This window comes from Homo sapiens, chromosome 12 (genome assembly GCF_000001405.40).
Source record: "Homo sapiens chromosome 12, GRCh38.p14 Primary Assembly".
Taxonomy (NCBI): Eukaryota; Metazoa; Chordata; class Mammalia; order Primates; family Hominidae; genus Homo; species Homo sapiens.
The window spans coordinates 78,067,631-78,090,612 of record NC_000012.12 but is presented as its reverse complement, the minus strand read 5'-3'; the positions used below and the strand labels follow the sequence as shown (position 1 = coordinate 78,090,612).

At 35.4% G+C, this 22,982-nt stretch overlaps 1 protein-coding gene across 31 annotated transcripts in view; it reads right to left on the bottom strand.

The window, feature by feature from the left end:
• The window catches only part of NAV3 (neuron navigator 3), a 641,149-nt gene that overhangs the window by 122,398 nt on the left and 495,769 nt on the right, over positions 1–22,982 (bottom strand). The gene's annotated exons all lie outside the window — the stretch shown is intronic.

The following is a 22,982-nucleotide window of genomic DNA, read 5'->3' as shown; positions in this document are numbered from 1 at the left end:
TCTGTAATGAGGTACACAATACTGGCAATAAGGTTCTATTTAGAATTGATGGCACCAAGATCATTGAGAAAATATTCCAAAAAGCTCATCATATACTTTACATTAATCTAAGAACTTGGAATCATTTAAGACAAAGTTTCTGTGGTGACATCAGGCATCTTCAGGCAATATGGTTAATGTTAGTAGAAAAGGTTTTAAATTCAAACAAGTTTAAATTAGAATTTGGATAAACTGCTTAACATGTTTGAATTTTTTATTGCTTAGTATTATATCATCCACAATCATTTGTAGTACTAAAATCAAAGAAACATGTGTATAGGAACACTTTCAATTTAATTCAACTTTATTATATATATATAAAATTTGATATATATATATAATTCAACTTTATATATGTATAATTCAACCATATATATATATATACACACATATATATTTACACATATATATATGTATGTATTTGGGCAGGGGGAGGAAGCCATACACAAAGTATAGTAGCAATTGCTTGATGCAGGGCATACTGGAGATAAGAGACATAGATAAACTTAGATAATGATTCTAATTTTGCAACAAGGCAATAGAGGTAAATTAATAAAATATGCAAACAAGATCATATAAATGTCAGGCAGTCCAGAGTAGAAGAGAAAGAGCTTAAATCCAAATTTGAGAGGTACGTAATTCTGAGTAGATTCTGAAGGGAGAGCAAAAGCTTAGAGATTTAGGATATTAGCCCATCTGGAGATCAAGGTTTAAGTTAAAGAGGAATGGAAGATGAAGTTGGATAGATACATTGGATCCTTTGGGATGACAAATTATTCTTTATGAGTTAGACGCAGTGTCAAAGGAAGTACTGTCAACAGGATGGATGTATACTGGCTATCACAAGTATCAACTTACACATGGTGAGGAGGCAGAGGGGAATCAACTAGTATCTCATCATACCTTGAGTTCTAATTTCCATTCTTGATCCTGTAACCAACTGATACATTCAAACTGAATAAACATTACAAAAATCACTCATAATAGTAAATCTAAAAATCAGCATCCAAACTAATAAAAATAACTGGTTTATTTCATCTTAAAAATAAAGAAAAGAAACCTCTACAAAGTTAAATACAGTATATTTTTGATAAGCCTAAGTATTTAGGGGCTTTATAGATTAGTTTTTGATAAATCAGAAATACCAGTATGCCTGTTTAAACAAAGCAAAGTGCTGTGGTTCTCTTAATATGCTAAAATAGTGGCTTTAAAAAATATGTTAAAATGGTCATCTGAATGCTTTCATAATAATTCTAACATTACTTTATGGTTTATCATGTATTTTTTCCTTGTTTCTTCCACCTGCATTCACTTATTTTCTCTACTTGAATTAAAACCTCAGAAAAAAGAAATCTGAACTTACAAATTGGTTGAATTCCATAAATTGACTTTTTTTTGGGAAAAGGGGAAGGGAATGGTGGTATGGAAAAAAATGGTAAAGTGATTGACTAAATAACAAATATAAATTACCTGACCTGCGATATTTGCAAAGACAGTGCAAGGCACAAACATTCCTATTATGTTGATTTCACATGTGGAGAATAGAATCCCTTCATAATCCCAAATGCTAAGAGATCAATGAGCAACTATTAGCAATAAACTGTGTAGTTCCTAGTGAAAGGTCCAAAGCTAAAATTACTAATCCAAATGCTGATAAGAGAAGATGTTTGGGGTTTCAGTAAATGTTTACATGTGTCAGTGTTTTCTTGGATCCTGTCTTTGCTAGTATGACATGTCTATTTTTGGTCCCATTATACAGTGATGTGGGACACACAGTGATTTTCCAGCTCATACTCTCGGATTCTGGGTAAGCAGCCCATCTTCAAATTCTCTGAGGACCCCTGTAAAAGTATGTATTTGCTGCCTAAGATAGGCAAGACTTAGAGAGCTGCTGTGGTCACAAGAACAGTAGGATTTATATAGAGTTCCGGATTAGAGGTTTGCTTATTTAGTTATTTCCTGATCTCTCTTAAGAGGACAAAGAGAGAAGAAACAAGTAGAATGAAGATTTTTTTATTTTTCCTTTAGAATGAGGACACTATTAGCAGCATCTGTGATTTTTTACAATAGCGCATGTCAACAAACTAAGGGAAGGTGAAAGTGAAAGGAAAAATTGCAAGACCAATGTGATCACTGGGTCTTCCCTCTTGTCCACTCAGTTGAGATAACATTGTTTGCAGTGATAATCTATTCACACATTCTATAATAATAGTGTCTAATTCTTTGTTGGAAACATATTTGGAAGGAAAAGACAATAATTGAATGAATTTTATATTTTAACCTGTTATATTTGTCTATGTCATTTATACACTTATTTTTCTTCACATGCATTTCAGAACAATCAACTAATTGATTTTAATGTATTTTATATATTATGTTAATTGTATACTTAAAACAATAAAGTCTTGCTCACAAAAATTATAAAAACCATTATGTTAAGTGGATAAGAAGTATATAAAATTGAATGACCCTCATAAGTTATATGAGGTCATTCATAATATATATGAGATATATCATGTATATCATATATATATATATATGAAGAAACACTAGAAAGGAAAAGAAAATGGTAGCATTAATTATGCTTGGAAGAGAGGTGTGTTGTTTTTAATTTAGCAAAAGCTTTCTGTGATACTGTTCTCTGATACTCCTTTTGCAATAAACATAATAGTTCATATTAATTATGTTGATCTATAAGTGAATATTCAAATTAATCTGCTATAATTTGCTATTATTATAATTTATCTGTGAAACTGGGACAAATAAATAGACCCCTAATTAAATCTAAAGTATACATAGAACCATAAAAATAATTAGCTGGCCATGTTATTTCTAAAACACTGAAGGAATATGTATAGAAAAAATTTCAAAAGAAGAAAATTCACTTCACAACTTGCATTTCATGAACCACTATTTCTAGAGAAAGACAAGAAGGTTAGAGCTTACATTTTATAATTGTCTCCTTGACCATTGCTAGATTATAACACACTAACATTGCTGTCATATTTTTTTAAGTCAAATGACATAAAACCAAGCATTAAATCCCACTCAGGTTACGACCTCATCTCTGAAATACTCATTTCTTGCTGTAGATTGCAATTTCCAGGGTGGTTACTTTGGTAACATCTAGATGCTTTGGGGTTCCTTCTGAATGTGTCCAGTGATTTTCCCTACTCCTCTGTGCTATACAGGACAAAATATTCATGTGGATACCAACATAATCTTTAATCTTCCTTTAGGCTGTTGATTTTCAGCTAGAAGTTTGTTTTCTAGAATTAGATTATACATGTCAAGGTCTGTTACAAAATCAGTTCTCATAGAAGATTTATGTATCTTGGCAGCTCAGCAAAGAAATCCTTGATTTCAGTGAGATCAATGGAACCACTTTTAGAAAATCACTGCCAGACCTGAAGCTAATTTTCTCTAATTCTACAACATCTGTAAATCTCATATGGAAGTCTGGATTTTAATCAGCTCTGCAGCCTAACAAATGCCTAGTGATGCTTAAAGAAAATAAACACCAAAAACTATTTGACAGGAAAACCACAAAAATAACATAAAAGAGCAATATGGGCTACAGGCTGTAGAAAACCTATTGTTTCATTGACAGTTTTAAAGACTTCATAGGCAGTTAATTCAAAAATAGGAAAAAGTGTTGGTGTCATATAGGGTGTCTTCTTCATGAAAGATTATTTTTTACTACTATGAAAGAAACCCAGTGAAACCACTGGGATCCCAACACATAGATGAGGACATGTAATGATTGAAAGAAGTGATCATAGAGGAAAGAATAAAATGCAAAGTGAATCTGTACCACAGGGGGTGCTGCAGAAATGTCAGCAGTAGAATAGCTATATCTTTCCAAGTCTTTAATTCTAGCCAACTTCCAAGGTTGGCAAAGTGAAAAGATCCCTCAGCAATGATTAATTCCCTTAAATAATGTTTATTACCATAAGACTTCTCATTAGGCATACAAATTTAAGAGGTTGCAGGTAAATAGTATCCACATTGTCCAACAAGACTCTCATAAATTCACTGTGATAAAAATATTGGTAGCAATAAGTATGTGTACTGTGTAGCCATACTCTTGCAAGGAACAAGACCTGAGCATTTTGGCATAATGAATCAAAAAATAAACATGTTATTACTTAAAATGCTGCATATGTTTTATAATTGAAATTAATATTATTTGCATTTTTCACATAATTGCCTAACAATACATATCCCAGACTTTCTTATTAAGTTGTCAATAAAATTTTCAAAACTAGTAAATAGAAAACATATACTTGAAGAAGAGACTCCTATTAAAACAAATGTAAACAAAGGCAGATTTAGTGTTTTCTTTTATGCAATTTTGGTAGTAATACTACTTATACCAATTAATTGCTTAAAATGAACCAGGAACTATCTGAACATTTTATAGGCATAATCTAATTTAATCCTCTCAACAATCCTGCACGGGTAAACGCCAGTGTTAATTATTTTGTAGAAAAGGATACAAGCTTGGAGAAGTGAAGTAACTTACCCAATCTTGGCTAAGATTTACAAAATGGCTGAGCAGGAAGGGAAACCCAGCGTTTGCATTCCTGAGCTTGTACTTTTAATTTCTATGACACATTGTCTCTGACAAATTTACAGAACTCAAAACCCACTGCTGAATGAGTCTGGATGACTTAGTTGTAGATCATCAATTGGCATTATTATCAAGATGCATTTTACTCAACATTTGAGTTTGCTAACCAGCTACTCTCTGTCTTGTAGTTATATCTCCTCATCCTCCTTTGCCAAAATGCTGTGTTCCCAAATAATCTGTTCTTGGCTGTACTCAAAATTTTTAGCCTGTCCTTTTTCCTAAGTGCCAGTTTTCCATTTCAAACTGCCTGCCTGACATCTCCTCCTGAATGTTCAGCCCACACGCAATATGTTTCTTACTGAATTCATCTTCTCCCTTCCCAAATCCATCCCTTCTACTACATCTTCTATTTCTGCTCATCATTTTCACAATCACTTTAGAAGGAAAGAAACTAGTGTGAATTGCCACTATAGTAAGTTGTATGATTATTTACAAATATTCCATCTACTTTCCCTTTTTGTGGATTATACATTATCTATCTCATTGACTTTTGGCCTTGGGCATGTGATGTGTTTTGGCCAATGGAATATGAACATACATGGAATATGCCAGAACCTTTAAGGGTCTGTGTAAGTTTCTGCTGCCTCTTTTGCTCTTCCCCTCTGTCTCAAGAAAAGACATCCCAAACAGGGGTTGCTTCTTCAGTCTGAGTCTAGTAATAAGAAAACAAGTAAAGTCAAGCCACAGCAGGTAATTCACAGCTGTGCCATGTATTGTGAATAAGGAATAAATGTTTGTTACTGTAAGCCACTGACATTAGAGGGTTACTTGTTATTGCAAATACAGGTTTTGTTTACTCTCACTTTAATATCAAATCAGCTGCAATTTGCATTAGTTGTATATTTAAAATATATCTTCTATACTTTATTTTTATAGGAACACAATCTAATTATGTTGATTATTACCCATCCCTTTGATGATGGCAATGCTTTTTATATGTCTTTTTCTCTTTTTTTATTTTATCAAGATGACTCTTCTTGAAGTGAAATTTTATCATTTTACTCTTCTATTCAAACATCATAAATAATTTTACAAGAGGAAAAAAAAGATCTCACAGAAGACTAAGTAATCAATCATATCAAAGAGTGCTGATAGGCCAAGTCAGGAGAGACACGAAAATTAAACAATGAATTTAGCAACATCGATTTTATATCAATGAAAGCCATTGCTAACCTTAATAAGAAAGTCATTGATTAGTTTAGTAAAAACAGTTTTAGAAGAGTGATGGGGTAAAACACTGAATGGAGTGGATTCAACAGACAACAGAGAGAAATTGATGATAGCAAGGTAACTTTAAAAAATATTTCAAGGGATTTATTGCAAAGGAGAGCAGAGAGAGAGAGAAAGAGAGAGAGAGAGTGGTGGCTCAAGGGCAATATGGAATGGAGGGGTGTTTGGGGTTTATTTTGTCTACTTTGTTTATAGTGAAAGAGAAACTTCAAAATGTTGGTGTGCTGATGGGAATGATATAGTAAAGACAAAAAAAAATTGGTGATACAGGACAGTTTAGAAATAACTAGAGCTATGACTTTGATCACAGAGAGGGAATGGGATCCAGTGCCTAACTGGAGGGTTTAGCCTTGGATATTTAACTGAGACAGTTCATACACAGTAACAGGAGGTAAGGCTGATATAAATGTAAACCATCAGTAGGGAGGTAGCTGGGATGATGAGACTGATATTTGGATTTCTTCCATTTTCTCAGGGAAGCTGTAAACATGCTAACTGAGAAAGGGAAAGAAAGACTGGAAATTTGAGGAGAAAGAATAGTTGTGAATTATTTGTTAAGAGAATGAAAGAGTGGAGCAGGGAAATGTAGGATTTCTGTGCACACCACTAGTCCACTTGAGATTACTAGTCATGAACATACTATGAAATCAGTCTGCATGATATTTATAGTTTTATCCAATCACATTCAGCTGGACAGGAGCAGAGTAGATAAAATGTTGGTTTTAACTGAAGTTGAGATTTTTCTAGTCAAATAAGCAAAAGAGAAAGGGGCAGTGGAGTAGAAAAAATATCCAAGTAAGGTTTTTTGTTTGGCTGGTTATTTTGAATAGATCATGGAACCTAACTTGTACAAAGAAATATATGACAACTCAGCAAGTATTTAGGATTCTGACGAGTTAAGTATCAATGAATTGCAGGCACTGGTCAGATTATATTATTCTTGGAGCCAGAATAAGAAAGGAAGCGAACTGGAAAAATAGGGGTAGTTGTTAGCATGATACTCAACCCTGTTTGAATGGAGAAGGTGAAGTTTTCACTAAGGACAAGTTCCAGGGTGTGACAGTGGGAGTGTGTGACTGAAGTACAAGTAGAATGGAAGGCAAGATCATTAAAGGATAAGGTGTCAAGCTTCTGAGAAGTGAGGCTATGGGTCAGTGGATGTGGATATCACAGTAAATTAAAATAACAGTAGTGTTAGAAAGTCAAAAATATTAGAGTTAAAATCTTGAATAACTCAGGGACAGTAACATAAGTTTCTTGAAATGATAACTAGGAGGGATAGCAGGTGGTCTATATTGATGGTAGGAACTTTGTTATGGCTTGAATGTTTGCTCCCTCCAAATTCACATTAAAATTTAACCCCCAATGCAGCTGTATTGACAAGTGAGACCTTTATGAGATCACCGGGTCATGAGGGCTGAGCCCTCATGAATGTATCAACCTACTCATAGATTAGTGGGTTAATGGACTAGTGGGTTAGTGTGTGAGTAGGTCTGTTATAAAAGCCAGTTTGGCTCTCTCTCAGCTGCCCCTCACCATGTGATGCCCTGCACTGCCTTGGGACTCTACAGAGCATCCCCACTAGCAAGAAGGCTCTTAACAGATGTAGTGCTCAACCTTGAACTTCTCAGCCTTCATAACTCTAAGATGTGAATTTCTTTTCCTTATAAATTATTCAGTTTCAAATATTTTGTTATAAGTCATAGGAAATAGACTAAGACAGGCTTCAACATAGGTATTTCTTTCAGAGGAGAGGTGATGATGAAAGTAGACATTTAACCCACCCCCAGGCCCAGGAGGAAAAGAATGTGTACAAGGACTACAGGGAGTCTTCAGGGGAGAGGCAGGTTTCAGTGAAAAGAACAAAGGGAAGGGCATGTTTCAAGAAGAAATTACTAATAGAGGCAATTCAGCCAACAGTGGATTATGAATTCTAAGCAGCATAGTAAAAGGGTTTCAGCTATTGGGAAGAAATTAAAAACATGGTTTAAAAGTAGAGAATTTGGAGGGTTATAAGTTTGTAGGGTTATGGGTATCAGGGATAATCTTTTCTCCTAAAAAGGTGATATATGTCAAAACATACCTTTTCAATTAAGTATGTTCTATTGAAATGCTAATGGTGGGGGGGGCTATATCACACAGTGATTTTGTTTAACAATAGACTAACAGAAATCATACACAGCGTGCTTAAAACCAAATACCAAAATATTCAACACTGACTACCTTCAAGGGAAAACTTCCGAGAAAAATCAATTTTTAATTGATCTGAAACAACAAGATTTTCTAAAAATATGTGCACAGATATTTTCAAAACGGGTGATAAATTGACAAAATAACACAAAATAATTCATCAGCCAATATTTATATTTGAAAATATAATGCATATGCCTGTGTATTAATACGTGCCCTTAAGCCATGTATTAGTCTGTTCTCATGCTGCTCATAAAGACATACCTGAGACTGGGTAATTTATAAAGGAAAGAAGTTTAATTGACTCACAGTTCCACATGGCTGGGGAGGCCTCACAATCATGGAAGAAAGCAAGGAGGAGCAAAGCCACATCTTACATGGTGGCACGCAAGAGGGCTTTTGTAGGGGAACTCCCCTTTATAAAACCATCAGATCTCATGAGACTTATTCACTAGCAGAAGAACAGCATGGGAAAGCCCTGTCCCCATGATTCAATTATCTCCCACTGGGTCCATCCCACGACAGGTGGGAATTATGGGAACTACAAGATGAGATTTGGGTGGGGAGACAGCTAAACCATATTAGCCAGGGAATGAGATCAATGAAAGAACATCCAGGAAAAGATCTACTTAAAAGTCTTGTTTTGGGAATGTTTAGCATTCATATTGAAAGTTTATCTTTGTGGTGTGGGTAGATTCAGAAATACACAGTGTGAGCTGCCCGGGGAAAGGGGCACTTGAGTGTGGAAGGCTCAGCACTGAGGAGCCTTAACTCCAGGGAAGATAACCAAAGCCTTAGGCCCTTAACTTTGAAAAGGGAGAAACTTCGTTTCCACAGAGAAAGAACAGCATAACACCTCAGATGAGCCTCTCTCCCACTTCCAGATTTGCCCCTGCCTATTTACATGGGTAAATAGATCCAGGTCAGAATTTTAGGAGAAAAAGCAGCAAGAAAGAAAGTGAGAGGAAATGGTGACAGCCTGCAAGAGACTGCCAGCAAGATGGACAGCTGACTCAAGCTCGGAGGAGCATCCACAGCACAGCACACCTCCCCGACTCATCTCTTGACATTCACGTGCTATAAAGGGTTGCAATCCAGGGCCCTCAAGCCATGCTGAGCACCAAGACCTTCATCTATACTCAGCCTTCACCGGGCTCTCCATGAGCTTTACGGTACTGAACTACCAGGTTCATTAGTTGTACCTGCACATGGAGAATCATAAAAGGCATAAGAGTGCCTGTTGACTCTGACCAACAGAGATTCTTTCAAGAAAAGAACATTCCTGGTAGTCAAAATAATCAACCTCTCTCTCTCTTAACGTATTATCACGCTATAGTTCATAAGATGCTAGAGGTGTTATAACAATAGACCTAACTGAATATTTAATATATACATTAAAGAAAGACTCAAAAGACTTACATAGCCTGATAGGCTTTTCTCCTAAAAAATTAATAAATCAAATTCTGACTTCTCTATTTCCTGTCTTATGCCTTTCCTGTTCATACCTGCTAGCTTGTCAAATGGATACGATCTCTAAAACACACCGGACTTCACTTATGATAACTAAATTGCCTGTGGTTGACAGGATTTTGAATTATCCTACTTGTTATTATCAAATGCATGTGCTCAGCTAAATAAAGTCATAAGACAAGCAAGTTTGAGGTAATTAGATGGTGCTGATTGTACCTGCAGTATGCAGTTCATTTTCATGATTAATTCTGCATGGAAGGCTACACATACTATTCTATTCCACAAAACAGAGCATCAAATAGGAGAAAAGAGTCCAGGGTACCTCGTGACTGCCAGTGTCAATTTGAACACTATTATCTCACCATGAGTAAATGGTCCAATATCTTAGAAAAACTCCAAAGCAGCAGCAGATTGAGAATTATGATCTATTTTAGACAGAAATTAAACTATAATGGGAAAAAGTAAAGTCTAAAAGTCATAATCAATACTGATACCCACTGTGTTAATGAGTTTCTGTCATTACAACAACAATGGAATCAAAAGGGTAGGAAAAGTATCTCTGGAAATTGTGGTGATTAAGTCTTTAATCCAAAGAGAACATTTATGCAGGTGAAAATTTATTTTAAAAGTATATTTCAAGATAGAAAACTTTTAAAAGTTAATTTAAGGCTCACTCTGTGTATCACATAGACTACTTAATATTACAAAAGGGTTTTTAATGATCTTTGGAAAACGAGAGAATGCTTGACCTAGTCTTTCTGTTCTCTTGCTAAGGGGACATGATACTTTCATTTTCCACTTTCTACTGGCCCTTGGTACTTTTATACTTTGTGTCTCAATCAGACCACATGAGTACCTACTATGCAAGAGATAAAACTTCTAAGTTAGAAACAGTGTAAACTATACCCTGTCCCCAAATTATTTTTGTCTAAAATGCCAGGTTTAAGAATGTCTAGATGGCTATAATTTAAGATTTTATTGTCAACAAAATGGGTGGGGAAGAGGGCAACAGGTTCATAACATATTAAAATATAGACAAAATACATTTTTGTGGTTAATATATTAACTCTCCATGCTTCAGTGGCCTCATTTACACAATGCAGGATACAATATCTTCGATTATGAACACAAGGCTTAACACATATCTGTCATATTATTATTTAAACACGTACAAGTGACCTTCACTTTCTTTACTGTCCTACGTAGGCAAGAGAGTAACCATTATTTATCATGCATAGAATCAGTAGAAACTCCACTTAGAGGGTAGGCCTAATCATTTGTACAGTGTTCTCTTTGGAGATGGTTCTATTCCAGATATAAAACCAGGGCACTGGGGTATCCAGCCATTCTCTAAATAAAAAAGCCTCCTGTTTATTGTCTTATTTGTAAAGAAGTGAGAGTTTTCAAAAATTAACTGATTTCTGATGTCTGCTAATAATTTTTTCTATGAAGAGAAGAAAAAGGATTGTGACTGACACTGTATAATATACTTATGGTGTGCTATCTTATGTAATCTTTATAATCGTCCTTTTAAAGTAGGTTTGGGATTGTGAAACAGATATCAAATACCAAATAAAAAATATCAAAAAATACAGCCTTTTTGCTGATAAAAATGTTATCAGTCATGAAAATAATGAACGCATCAATAGCAGGCTAATAAAACTTCAGAGATAAGAAATAATCATGCTTTGTTTTAAAGCAAATTTCTTTCAAAATTTATGATTCTATTTTTTTCCAAGGCATTTCCAGCTAGCTAAGCTATAAATCTGAGTCTTTATATCTAAAAATCTCACACTGTCTTTTCATTTAAAAATAAAAAAAAGACATCTTTAGAATTCTTGTGCTAGCCCATCCTTGCGCAGGATGTAGGACTCAATGGCACATCAGTTCTTCATGCTGTGACAGTTCTAGCTACAAAAGGTGTGACACTTTCTAACACCAAGGCATACTCACAGCTGGGGTTTTCAAATAACAGTTTTATTTTGGAGTCAATTCTGAGTGCTGCTAGGACATAGGAGGATGTTATTTGTGTATAAGCCTTTTGATCTATTTAAGGAATCACCAAGTCAAGTGGTTAAAAACCAGCAACATTATTTGTTAGAAATATGATCAAAATTAATATTTGTCTTTATAATTTGATTTTTCTAAATACTTCTCTCTTGCTAAAGTGGTTAAGTATTCAGATGATTTCACTATGCCACATTATCTTCTGGGTGTTTTGAAGGGAGGGGAAACCAAATCTCAGAGAGTCATCTTTCCATGGAGAATTGTCTCAATGCAGTTCTAGTTGTCTATTATTGTGCTGTGAGGTTATTGAGAGAGAAGCTATGGCTTTAAATTTAAAAGAGTGGAAAGAGGCCGGGCGCGGTGGCTCACGCCTATAATCCCAGCACTTTGGGAGGCCGAGGTGGGCGGATCACGAGGTCAGGAGATCGAGACCATCCCGGCTAAAACGGTGAAACCCCGTCTCTACTAAAAATACAAAAAATTAGCCGGGCGTAGTGGCGGGCGCCTGTAGTCCCAGCTACTTGGGAGGCTGAGGCAGGAGAATGGCGTGAACCCGGGAGGCGGAGCTTGCGGTGAGCCGAGATCCCGCCACTGCACTCCAGCCTGGGCGACAGAGCGAGACTCCGTCTCAAAAAAAAAAAAAAAAAAAAAAAAAAAAAAAAAAAAAAGAGTGGAAAGAGTGAAATGCAACTCTCATACTTGTTACTTGGGTTCATAGAAATTAGGTCTGATGTAGAGCAAAGAGAATGAGAATGTTATCGGTTGAATTGTGTACCTTCCAAAAATTTGGTTGTTGAAACCCTAACCCTAGAACCTCAGAATATGACCTTACTTGGAGATAGGGTCTTTACAGAGGTAATCAAGTTAAAGAGAGCTCATTGGAGTGGGACCTAATCTAACATGATGGATGTTCTTACTGAAAGGAGAAATTTGGACACAGACACACACAGGGAAGACAATGTGAAGACACAGAAGCTAACTACAAGACAAGGAGACAGGATCCCTCACTCGTGGCCCTCAAGAGAAAACAAGCCTACCAAAGCATGGATTTCTAATGTCTAGCCTCCAGAAGGGTGAGACAATATGTTTCTGTTTTTTGTTTTTGAGGCAGAGTTTTGCTCTTGTTGCCCAGGCTGGGAGTGCAAAGGCGTGATCTTGGCTCACTGCAACCTCCGCCTCCCAGGTTCAAGCGATTCTCCTGCCTCAGCCCTCCAGGTAGCTGGGATTACAGGCACCCACTGCCATGCCCAGATAATTTTTGTATTTTTAGTAGAGACGGGGTTTCACCATGTTGGTCAGGCTGGTCTCGAACTCCTGACCTCAGGTGATCTACCCGCCTCAGTCTCCCAAAGTGCTGGGATTATAGGCATGAGCCACTGTGCCTGGACAATATGTTTCTGTTGCTTAAGCCACCCAATCTGTAGTACTTTGTTATAAAGTCTTAGCAAACTAATACAGAGAATCAATGTTAAACTTAAGAGTCTAACAGTTAAGATTTGGATTTGTTTCACCACCATGGGAGTCAGCAAACTATGGCCATGGAAAAAACCCAAATTGTACACTGTTATTTAAGAATGTCTTTTACATTTCTAAATAGTTAGAAAAATTGGGGACAATTTGTTTTCTCTCATTGTGTAAACAGATACACAATATCTTGATTTTGCCTCTTGGCCCGTAAAGCCTAAAATATTTATTGTCTGGTCCTTTATGAACAAAAATTGTAAACTCTGGCCCAGATAAGAATCAAGCTGAGTTGAAATCCAACTTAATTTAGTTATTGAAATTTGGGTTAACTTTATTGAGCTTTTATATTTTTATTTGTACAACAGAGCTTTCTAAAAATTTTCATTATTTTACAGAATTAGTATCAAGGAGTAAAAACAAATGAAGAATATGAAAAAAACTTAAGAAGAAACTTAAGAAATATGGAAAGGTCCATACATATAATTGTATTTTTTCAGAAAATATTTATATAAATTACATATACAACAAATATTAGAAGTCTATCATTTCACTCAACACATTTTCTAAACTCAGAGATGAATTCTTTGATGTTTTAGACACAATCCAAAGATACTTTAAGCAGAATTTCTAAAGTAAATTACCATCAGATATCCTAGTATTATACTTTGCTATTTAAACATATTAATATCTTGGTCAAAATATTTTAAAATTACCACAAGCTAGAAAGCCTTGAATTTCTTAAGCAAGTAAAAGCAGGTAGCAATATTTTGGATTATATGGCTTCTATAGAATTTCATACTCAATAAATTTTCCTCCACAATGATTTCAAATGTATTTTTTCTTTTGAGATAATACCCTAGCTACATGCTTTTCATACCTGTGTTTTTTTTAAAAAGCTCTCAAAAGAAAGCATGTCATTCATTCATTCATTTACATAAACGTTTATTGAGTACTAATAGTGAATCAGGTCCAGTGCTAGATGTGAAGAATATAAAGTCAGAAAAGACATGAAATAAATACTTTCGAAATAATATGGGAAACATTAAGATGCATATGATGGCAAAATATACATCACATGTATATTTTGTGATAAGAACTGCATTCGATTCTGGGAGTCCCTGTCTTTGGGTATGTCATAGGTTTCTGGAAAAGACAGACACAGAGTCCTCAATATAACATGGCGAATTATAAGATTGACACACAACTAGCGCACAGAGAAAGAGCACTGAGTCTATGAGGTTTTGAGGAGAGTTCACAGAGAAGGCAACACCTGAAGTGAGTCTTGGAGGATAAATAAGAGATACGAAGGAAACCAGAATTGGTATTCCAGGTTGAGTATGGGATTTCAGGCATAAGCAACGCCACAGAATAGCTGGTTTTAGGATGGTGGTGGACATCAACAAATAGTTACACATTTTCATATTGTAAACTGTGGCACCAGGCAAACCAAGAGATAAGGTAAGCCTGTGTGCCAGACGCCAGGATGCTCAGATTGGGAAAACAAGAAGGGAGAGAGTAGAGAAAAAGTGCATTGGGAATTCCATAGAGTAAGCATGTTAAGAGGTAAGTAAAGACTTAGGCTATGAAGATGCTTCTTTGGCTTCCGTGATTGTTTCAGGATGTCCTAACCTGTTCAATCCACTTGACTCTTGGGAACCTTGCAGAAGCTTGTTTCTCTCCCACTGGATTTGAACCCTGAATTATATAGGACTGAGAGTGCATTGTTTTAATCAGAGGAGGGCCTCACATTTCATGTTAGTAGTCATGAAAATAATTAATAGATCAATGGCAGGTTAATAAAACTTTGGAGGTAGGCAATAATTATGCTTTGTCTTAAAGCACATTTCTTTCAAAACTGATGACTGTGGATTAGTTTTCCCCAAACCGTTTCAGGTAATTAAGCTATAAATCTAAGTCTTTATATCTAAAAATCTCATACTCTCTTTTCACTTAAAACTAAAATTTTAAAAACCCTTTAGAATTCCTGTGCTAGTCCATCTTTGCATTGGATGTAAGACTCCATAACCCCCAAATCCTATCTAGGAAAAATACCACAGCCAGGCCAGGAGATAAAGGTAACCAAATACTGTTCTATTCAGCCACATCCAAATTCATAGTAACTATGGACTTCTCAGTTATACAAACAATACATACTTTTTTTTTCTCAAGTCGGTTTTAGTATGATTTTCTGTCACAATCTAAAGAGAACTATTCTTGTAACTGTTAGTTTCATTCATTTTATAAATATAAAAATGAGGCCAGGACAGCTAACTTTCCAGACCCACACAACCAACCGATGGCTTAGATGGGATCATAAACCAGGAATCTAAACTCTAAATCCCCTTTTTATGATTAATTATGTTAAATTATTTCTCACAACACTATGTTTTCTTCATATCTGTACTGCTTACAATGATGTACAGACTTGCAGTCAGTAAGCACGTGTCAGATATACAGGGAAAGTAAAGGATCAGTGATAGTCCTGATCAGGTAGACTCACACCAGGTTGCCAGGATTACAGGATCCAAGGAGGGAAAAAAGTTCTTCTCAATATTTAATTAACCTGTGTTCAGCCCTCAACTGTGCAGTGTGTCCCATCCAGATTACATTTCTTTTTTTCTTTTCCCAGAGGAAACTCTCTAGTCTTTTGCTAAGATAGAAAAGAGACAGTTATCTACTATTTCAAGAGTTGGGTTGGACAACTGGAGGTCTGACCACTTCTTAAAAAGCTTCTGATCCAGTTCCTCCTGTTTTTACTTCATATTCATCCCTACATCTCAAATCAGAATTAGTAGAATACCAAATGCCAATTGGCATTGGAATACTAATTCTGTCTTGCGTCATATCTTCATATCTTCATTTGTTTGTTTGTTTTGAGACAGAGTTTTGCTCTTGTCACCCAGGCTGGAGTATAGTGACACGATCTCTGCTCACTGCAACCTCCACCTCCCAGGCTTAAGTGATTCTCCTGCCCCAGCCTCCCGAGTAGCTAAGAATACAGGCACGAGCCACCACGCCTGGCTAATTTTTGTATTTTTAGTAGAGATGGGGGTTTCACCATCTTGGCCAGGCTGGTCTCGAACTCCTGACCCTCAAGTGATCCACCTGCCTTGGCCTCCCAAAGTGCTGGGATTACAGGCATGAGACACTGCGCCTGGCTACATCATGTCTTTTATTTATCCTCCAAGACTCACTTCAGGTGTCGTCTTTTCTGTAAACTCTCCTCAAAACTTCACAGGTTCAGTGACCCTCCTCTATGTCCTAGTTGTATGTCAATCTTATAATCTGCGATATTATTTTTGAAGACTCTGTGTGTCTTTTCCAGAAGTCTATAAAATATCCAAGAATAGGCACTGTGTTCTACTATTTGATCCTAAAATTCCCAAGCCTTTTTGGGATTCCTGTAGTATAAACTGCCTCCTTCTTGACTTTTCCCACAGTGTTCTCAGTGCTTTTGTGGGCCTGCTAAATCAGTTACAATTCTTCTTCAGTGTTGCCACTTTCATAGCTTTATTGCTTTTATTTCCTTTTGCATTCTGGACTTTACATATTTCTACATTTAAGACATTTTTTCAATAATATATTTGTACAGTTTCAGAAGCAGCAAAGCTAGTATAATATTTGAGTATGAACATATCTCTGCTATAAAATCATCAACTGTACCAACATATTCCACAAATTTAGTATTAAATTGAAATTTATTTCTGAGGGCTCTGTTCTGTTCCATTGATCTATATCTCTGTTTTGGTACCAGTACCATGCTGTTTTGGTTACTGTAGCCTTGTAGTATAGTTTGAAGTCAGGTAGTGTGATGCCTCCAGCTTTGTTTTTTTGGCTTAGGATTGACTTGGCGATGCGGGCTCTTTTTTGGTTCCATATGAACTTTAAAGTAGTTTTTTTTCCAATTCTGTGAAGAAAGCCATTGGTAGCTTGATGGGGATGGCATTAAATCTATAAATTACCTTGGGCAGTATGGCCATTTTCACGATATTGATTCTTCCTACCCATGAGCATGGAATGTTCTTCCATTTGTTTGTATCCTCTTTTATTTCCTTGAGCAGTGGTTTGTAGTTCTCCTTGAAGAGGTCCTTCACGTCCCTTGTTAAGTTGGATTCCTAGGTATTTTATTCTCTTTGAAGCAATTGTGAATGGGAGTTCACTCATGATTTGGCTCTCTGTTTGTCTGTTGCTGGTGTATAAGAATGCTTGTGATTTTTGTACATTGATTTTGTATCCTGAGACTTTGCTGAAGTTGCTTATCAGCTTAAGGAGATTTTGGGCTGAGACAATGGGGTTTTCTAGATATACAATCATGTCGTCTGCAAACAGGGACAATTTGACTTCCTCTTTTCCTAATTGAATACCCTTTATTTCCTTCTCCTGCCTAATTGCCCTGGCCAGAACTTCCAACACTATGTTGAATAGGAGTGGTGAGACAGGGCATCCCTGTCTTGTGCCAGTTTTCAAAGGGAATGCTTCCAGTTTTTGCCCATTCAGTATGATATTGGCTGTGGGTTTGTCATAGATAGCTCTTATTATTTTGAAATACGTCCCATCAATACCTAATTTATTGAGAGTTTTTAGCATGAAGTGTTGTTGAATTTTGTCAAAGGCTTTTTCTGCATCTAGTGAGATAATCATGTGGTTTTTGTCTTTGGCTCTGTTTATATGCTGGATTACATTTATTGATTTGCGTATATTGAACCAGCCTTGCATCCCAGGGATGAAGCCCACTTGATCATGGTGGATAAGCTTTTTGATGTGCTGCTGGATTCGTTTTGCCAGTATTTTATTGAGGATTTTTGCATCAATGTTCATCAAGGATATTGGTCTAAAATTCTCTTTTTTTGTGGTGTCTCTGCCTGGCTTTGGTATCAGAATGATGCTGGCCTCATAAAATGAGTTAGGGAGGATTCCCTCTTTTTCTATTGATTGGAATAGTTTCAGAAGGAATGGTACCAGTTCCTCCTTGTACCTCTGGTAGAATTCGGCTGTGAATCCATCTGGTCCTGGACTCTTTTTGGTTGGTAAGCTATTGATTATTGCCACAATTTCAGCTCCTGTTATTGGTCTATTCAGAGATTCAACTTCTTCCTGGTTTAGTCTTGGGAGAGTGTATGTGTCCAGGAATTTATCCATTTCTTCTAGATTTTCTAGTTTATTTGCGTAGAGGTGTTTGTAGTATTCTCTGATGGTAGTTTGTATTTCTGTGGGATCGGTGGTGATATCCCCTTTATCATTTTTTATTGTGTCTATTTGATTCTTCTCTCTTTTTTTCTTTATTAGTCTTGCTAGCGGTCTATCAATTTTGTTGATCCTTTCAAAAAACCAGCTCCTGGATTCATTAATTTTGTGAAGGGTTTTTTGTGTCTCTATTTCCTTCAGTTCTGCTCTGATTTTAGTTATTTCTTGCCTTCTGCTAGCTTTTGAATGTGTTTGCTCTTGCTTTTCTAGTTCTTTTAATTGTGATGTTAGGGTGTCAATTTTGGATCTTTTCTGCTTTCTCTTGTGGGCATTTAGTGCTATAAATTTCCCACTACACACTGCTTTGAATGCGTCCCAGAGATTCTGGTATGTTGTGTCTTTGTTCTCCTTGGTTTCAAAGAACATCTTTATTTCTGCCTTCATTTCATTATGTACCCAGTAGTCATTCAGGAGCAGGTTGTTCAGTTTCCATGTAGTTGAGCGGTTTTGAGTGAGATTCTTAATCCTGAGTTCTAGTTTGATTGAACTGTGGTCTGAGAGATAGTTTGTTATAATTTCTGTTCTTTTACATTTGCTGAGGGCCGCATATCTACAACTATCTGATCTTTGACAAACCTGAGAAAAACAAGCAATGGGGAAAGGATTCCTTATTTAATAAATGGCGCTGGGAAAACTGGCTAGCCATATGTAGAAAGCTGAAACTGGATCCCTTCCTTACACCTTATACAAAAATCAATTCAAGATGGATTAAAGACGTCATGTCTGAAACACCAAAAGCAATGGCAACAAAAGACGAGATTGACAAATGGGATCTAATTAAACTAAAGAGCTTCTGCACAGCAAAAGAAACTACCATCAGAGTGAACAGGCAACCTACAAAATGGGAGAAAATTTTCGCAACCTACTCATCTGACAAAGGGCTAATATCCAGAATCTACAATGAACTCAAACAAATTTACAAGAAAAAAAACAAACAACCCCATCAAAAAGTGGGTGAAGGACATGAACAGACACTTCTCAAAAGAAGACATTTATGCAGCCAAAAAACACAAGAAAAGATACTCATCATCACTGGCCATCAGAGAAATGCAAATCAAAACCACAGTGAGATACCATCTCACACCAGTTAGAATGGCAATCATTAAAAAGTCAGGAAACAGCAGGTGCTGGAGATGATGTGGAGAAATAGGAACACTTTTACACTGTTGGTGGGACTGTAAACTAGTTCAACCATTGTGGAAGTCAGTGTGGCAATTCCTCAGGGATTTAGAACTGGAAATACCATTTGACCCAGCCATCCCATTACTGGGTATATACCCAAAGGACTATAAATCATGCTGCTATAAAGACACATGCACACGTATGTTTATTGCGGCATTATTCACAACAGCAAAGACTTGGAACCAACCCAAATGTCCAACAATGATAGACTGGATTAAGAAAATGTGGCACATATACACCATGGAATACTATGCAGCCATAAAAAATGATGAGTTCATGTCCTTTGTAGGGACATGGATGAAATTGGAAATCATCATTCTCAGTAAACTATCACAAGAACAAAAAACCAAACACCGCATATTCTCACTCATAGGTGGGAATTGAACAGTGAGATCACATGGACACAGGAAGGGGAATATCACACTCTGGGGACTGTTGTGGGGTGGGGGGAGGGAGGAGGGATAGCATCGGGAGATATACCTAATGCTAGATGACTAGTTAGTGGGTGCAGCGCACCAGCATGGCACATGTATACATATGTAACTAACCTGCACAATGTGCACATGTACCCTAAAACTTAAAGTATAATAATAAAAAAAAGAAATTTAAACAGCATATCTATTAGTTTTCACTATGATTAACCTGTTCTAGTCACTAGCTTGTGATCAAGAGTGAAGCTGGAAACAATTTCAAAATAATTAAAATATTATTGACGTCATTATTCTTATGCACTTTAAAAAAAAAAAAAAAACTTCACCTGAGTATAAATCCCAGCATCTGGCATTTACTAGTGGTGTAACCTTGAGAAAGTTTTTCAGTCTCTTGTGCATTGCATGCCTCATTTGCAAAAAGGCATTGATTATAGTATCAAACCTAGAAGGTTGTTATGGGAATTAAATTAATTCGCACATGTGAAGTACTCAGCAATATATGTGGCACCAACCAAATATTCAAGAAGGGAACTATTATTATAAATAATTTTATTTTTACCTAGCAAATATTTGAACAGTCAGGTAGATGTGGCTAGTCCAACGTGTCTGACGTTAGAGTAAAATATACTCTTAGAGAAACAAATGATAGAGTTTTGTTCTGTAAAAAGTAAGGAACTCCTGGATATTTAATTAAGTTTCATAAAGAAGCATAGTTTCAGTAAAAAGGTTTTATCATCTATCTTGTCAGCAGGAAAACCTAACTGACAAAATATTTCATAATTGCAACAAACTATAATTCCTGATAGTTTACAAATACATACTTGAAATTAAAAATCTAAAAATTGTAAATCTTTATCTCATCAAACAAGTATAGAAAAATACCAAATGTGTATGTATATATATACATACACATATACCCACACTAACATACACACACGATATGTGAGGCATCTCCTAGTAAGTTCAAAATTTGATCTTTTTAGAAAACAAATTCATGAATATAGTCATACAACCAGATCAGATAGGATTCTGCTAATTGTTCTGCATATAAATCAGAAATGTGATGAATACCTTAAATTTAATGGTTTATTGCACTAGCTCTTTAGATATGTAATTTATTCCACATAACAGAAGGACATGCAATCATTAAAAATCATATTCAAAAATAATATCTAATATTACACAGTATTATTTATTATATAAATACAGTGAAGAAAGCAGGGTACTATACTATATATATGATGTAACCAAACTATGTAAATAGAAAGGGTAAAGAAGCCTAGAAGGAAATATCTTAATGCAATATTCTTGGTTGTCTTTGGGATGAGAGGATTACAGATTCTTTTTAGATTCTTCTTCACACTTTTGTATACTCTGTGAATTTTCATTAATAAACCTAGAAAAGTTTTGTAATAAAAAACGATTTAGTTTAGAAAATAATTTTATAATGAAAACACTGTCATTTACAACTTATCCTAAAAAAACATATGGGAGCTCTGGTAAGGCTTTAAAAAAAACCAAGCTTATTGCAAATAACTTTAACTATTTAAAATGCAAATTAAGTCAAGCAAGAAAAAAATATAAATGGAACCCATATGCCTCTAATAAATAAGTCCATGCCACCCACTCTATGCAGCCGGAGTGAGGAAGATGCAGAATTTATCAGCTGCCGGCCAAAATGCCTTCAATTTAATGATCCCAAATTGAAAATCTGAACCCATTAGTTAGCCTATTAAAAAAAAAAAAGAATTCATGCCTAGTTCTTGAAGGCAAAATAACGAAGTGTTTCATGTATAGATATAACTTCTTAAATAAAATTAACCATTTAATTAGCTAGGATATCTCTCATCATGAAAAGTAATATCATGTAATATAAAAGGACCAAAATTCCTTTTTCCCTCATATAAGTGCTCTTTTAGTATTTTTCATTTTATGAGCCAAACATATTTCTCCCTCTTCCATTTTTCTATTTCCTGAGCCTGTTAGAAATAGATATTTCAGTAATAATTAGATTTCAAGATAATGACAGATTTATATATATTACATCCATTATATATAAAATATATGTATTATAAATTATATATATGTAATTATATATAATTATATATTATATATAATATATATAAAAGAACAAAACACTGTTAAATTGCTTTATTGATATCAGCAAGCTAACTAGCTTTTTAGACGCTCTCACACATGTGAAATGACTGTTCTGTCACCTGTGTTTTAAGATCTATTGACAATCTGCAATGGAAATAGATACCATTATACATTGAATTAATTTACCAACTTTTTTGAAGCTGAATTTTAAAAAAACTATTTATAGTATAGATATGTTTAGGTCAAAATGGAAAAATTAAATAATTTATGAAGTCAAAATATTTCATCCAGGCATGATAAAAACCTTTATCTAAATTAATAATTTTATGAATAATACTTAAAACATAAGATCTAAATTCAAATTCTGCAATTATTATTTATTAAGAAAGTATCTATGGGTAAGCTACTTGATGTAAGAATTATTTGCCTCAATGGTAGTAATAAAACCTACTTTATAGGGCTATTGTAAAGATAAAGTAAAATAATATATTTAAGTAATATGGTATGTTAGCTACACACACTAGGTCCTCAATACTTATGTCTATTATAGCTATTGTTATTATAACAAATTTGACTACTCTTCCTCCTCTTCGTTCTCCTCCTTTTCCTCCTCATTCCTCCTCTTCCTCCTCCTCTTTTCTCCTCCTTTCCTCCTTTTCTTCTTCCTCTTTTCTTCTTCTCAATATGTTTACCATCCTCATAAGATTCATTAGTAAATTCTATTATAAGCAGATAAGATAAAAATTATACATCAATAAGAGTCCTGGGAACCATCTCTTGTATTGGGAGAATCATTCTATAATGGTAAAGTTAAAAATTGATCAAGTTTAATGTCAAGGTGAGTCTTATGAAAAAATAGCATTTAGAGCTACAATCTACAACTTGGGCCAGTTGTAGTGTTGAAGGATCTTTTGAATTTCAATGGCAATTGAGGTTTAACAATCCCTATTCTAATGCTCTTCTAATATAAGACTCTTGAATAAAAAGCCCAG